Below are 3,935 nucleotides of genomic sequence, written 5' to 3' on the forward strand. Positions count from 1 at the left end.
TGACATGCTGCAAAATCTGCTTGAGTCCAAATACAACAACCTTTTAAATCACTTTATTCCTTTTCTCCTAGCTACTGATGAACTGAACTACTTCTCAGGTAGAAAATCACAGGATTGTTTTAATTGGACTAAGAATATACTCAACGAACCAAAATTAACTCACATAATTGGTCTCAGGGTGTTCCTAAAAGTTGTATCTATGTATATATTTGTTGCCATTCTTATTTTACCATATGGCACAAAGCACTTGTATTCAAAAGTTATTTTAGGCCAAATATTTCAATCTCAATAGATTAAATGTATTTTAAAATTGTGTCAACTCAATTAAAATTAATTAAACTCAGAATTCCTTTAAATAAATAGACACTGAACCCTGGGTAACACATCTCCTTTCAAGAATCATGAATAAAGGGAAACATGAGGCTAACACTGTGTCAAACAATCAGCATAAGTACCATGCCATGTTTTTTATTTTATTATTTTTATTTGATGTATTTATTTATTTATTTATTTATTTATTTATTTATTTATTTTGGAGATGGAGTCTCACTCTGTCACCAGGCTGGAGTGCAGTGGCATGATCTCAGATGTCTGCAACCTCCGCCTCCTGTGTTCAAGCAATTCTCCTGACTCAGCCTTCTGAGTAGCTGGGACTACAGGCACATACTAGCATGCCCAGCTAATTTTTTTTTTTGTATTTTTGTAGAGACAGGGTTTCACCATGTTGCCCAGGCTGGTCTTGAACTCCTGAGCCTAGGCAATCTGCCCACCTCAGCCTCCCAAAATGCTGGGATTACAGGCATGAGCCACCGCAGCCGGCTGGTACCATTTTTAATGCCATATCCACATATGTATCACAAAGGAAGCTTCTAGCATCTGCTTCTTACTGTGCTTTCCTGAATCAATTGAAACTCACAGTTTATCTAGATTTAAAGAAAAAGTTTTAAATTAAAAACTAAATCTTCATGCTTCTCTCCCTCCTCCTACCATCCATCCTCAAGTAGACCCCGGTATCTGTTGTCACCTTCTTTGCGTTCATGAGTTCTCATCATTTAGCTCCCACTTACAAGTGAGAGCATGCAGTATTTGGTTTTCTGTTCCTGCATTACTTTGCTAAGGATAATGACCACTAGCTCCGTCCATGTTCCTACAAAAGACATGATCTTGTTCTTTTTTAATGGCTAAACAGTATTACATTGTATATATGCACCGCATTTTCTTTATCCAATCTATCATTGATTGGCATTTACGTTGATTCCATGTCTTTGCTATTGTGAATACTGCTGCAGTGAACATATGCGTGCATATGTCTTTATAGTAGAATAATTTATAGTCCTCTGGGTATGTACCCAGTAATGGGATTGCTGGGTCAAATGGTAGTTCTTTTTTCATCTCTTTGAGGAATCACCACACTGCTTTCCACAATGGTTGAACTAATTTACAGTCCCACTAACAGTGTACAAGTGTCTCCTTTCCTCCACAACCTCACCAGCATCTGTTATTATTATTATTTTTTTGATATTTAGGAATAGCCTTTCTGACTGGTGTGAGATGGCATCTCTTTGTGGTTTTGATTTGCATTTCCCTAATGATTGGTGATGTTGATCTTTTTTTCATATGACTGTTGGCTGCATGTATTTTGAAAACAATAGTAAGATAGGTTGCTAGCTAAACTAATAAAGAAGAAAAGAGAGAAGATCCAAATAAACACAATCAGAAATGTGAAGGGGATGCTACCAGTGATGCCACAGAAGTAAAAATAGCCATCAGAAACTACTATGAACACCTCTATGCACGCACACTAAAAAATCTACAAGACATGTATAAATTCGTGGACATATACACCTTCCCATGACTGAACAAGAAAGAAATTGATTCCCTGAACAGACCAATAATGAACTTCGAAAGTGAATCAGTAACAAATAGCCTACCAACCAAAAAAAAAAAAAAAAAAAAAAAAGCCCAGGATGAGATGTATTCATAGCCAAATCCTACTAGTGATACAAAGAAGAGCTGGTACCATTCCTACTGAAACTATTCCAAAAATATTGAGAAGGAGAGACTCCTCCCCAACTTATTATATGAAGCCAGCATCATCCTGATGCCAAAACCTGGCAGAGACACAACAAAAAGAAAACCTCAGGCCAATATCCTTGATGAACATTGATGCAAAATCCTCAACAAAATACTTGCAAACCAAATCCAGCAGCACACCACAAGCTAATCCACCACAATCAAGTAGGCTTCATCCCTGAGATCCAAGGTTGGTTCAACATACACAAATCAATAAATGTGATTCATCACATAAATAGAACTAAAGACAAAAACCACATAATTATCTCAATAGATAAAATTCTGATAAAATTAAGCATCACTTCGTGTTAAAAACTCTCAATAAACTAGGTATTGAAGGAACATACCTCAAAATAATAAGAGCCATCTGTGACAAACCAACAGCCAACATCATGCTAAATAGGCAAAAGCTGAAAGCATTCCCCTTGAAAACCAGCACAAGACAAGGATGCCCTCTCTCACCACTTCTGTTCAACATAATTTTTAGTGTCTACTAAAAGACAGTAAAGAAATATCCGATGTGTTTCATAAAAAGGGCACAGACCCATACTTACCTTATATGGTGTTAATATAAAATACATTTTATTGGGAAAACTTACAGACAGAAAAGCTACAGTTAATACGATTTCATGTCCTCTTATCATTCTGTGTGTGGCTTAACTGGATGTACCATGAAAAAATGCTCACATGGGAAGACTCCCACCTACCTCACTGCTTGATACATTTATAGAAAAAGTACATGATGGAGAGATTAGCTAGTAAGTTATTCAATAATGACACATTTTAATTCAAAGAAACTTGTCATATACCAAATCTAGGAAGAGACCTGTCCTCCCCTGAGCCAGATATTGGGGTAAAGTGGAAGATAAAGCCATATATATATATTTAAAGTGGGAACCAGTTTTGGAAGTTAAATAAATGTGAGCTTTGATTAAAGTTATATTTCCATTTGATAACGCAACTTACTTGGAGTTATCTCAACTCATGGGATTTTGATGGACAATGAACCTATGGCCAGCTAAAAATATTGGGTTGGTTAGTCACATTTTTTCTTTTAATGAAAATAATACTTCCACTGGGCCCATTCAGAAGCAAGTCATTATAGCTCAGAGATAACATATCAAGGCAGTTTATTAAAGATGCATATGAAAGTGCATATTAAAATGACTGATTTATTGTGTACATTCAGAAATAATTAATTGTTCTGAATTTGAAATACAAGAAATAGGGTTATCGATGAGAATATACCAAGGAGTATTCTACTTGCTGAGTATACCTCATTTTATTTCTTTCTCACCAACTCTGTGATGTATCTGCTGTTATTCTCATCCCCACTCCACATATTTTGAATCCAAGGCTCATAAAATTGTTCCAAATAATCACACTATTATTAAGTGAAAGAATCATAAACCAAATCCTAGTGTGTATCCTCCAGAGTCTACACTCTTAACTACTGGTCATGTTGCCTCCCAATTTCCTTCCATAAATTTTGCCCTAAAATAACATTACAGAGGATAAATGGCATCATTTTTTTTCTTTCTATGGAAAAGAATCTATATCAATATTAGTTGTATACGCAAAAAGGGAAGTAGTTTCCTGTGAGTTTCATATTTGTTTATCTTATGCTGTTGGTGTGATAGAAATGGCAAGGAAATAAGGATCTGCTTGTGTGACTGTAGTAACTTAATTAAAGGCAAAGTCATTTAAATTCTTTTTCCCTTTCTATAAAGTTGGGGTAAATTGGCCACTTAATTTGTCAAGTGTATTGATATTAACGAGTGACTGGCTGTAATAGCATTTTAAATTTAGAGGAAAGGCAATATGCAAGAATGAATCATTAATTCTATGATTAGGAATTTCCA

This window comes from Homo sapiens, chromosome X (assembly GCF_000001405.40).
Source record: "Homo sapiens chromosome X, GRCh38.p14 Primary Assembly".
In the NCBI taxonomy this organism is placed as follows: Eukaryota; Metazoa; Chordata; class Mammalia; order Primates; family Hominidae; genus Homo; species Homo sapiens.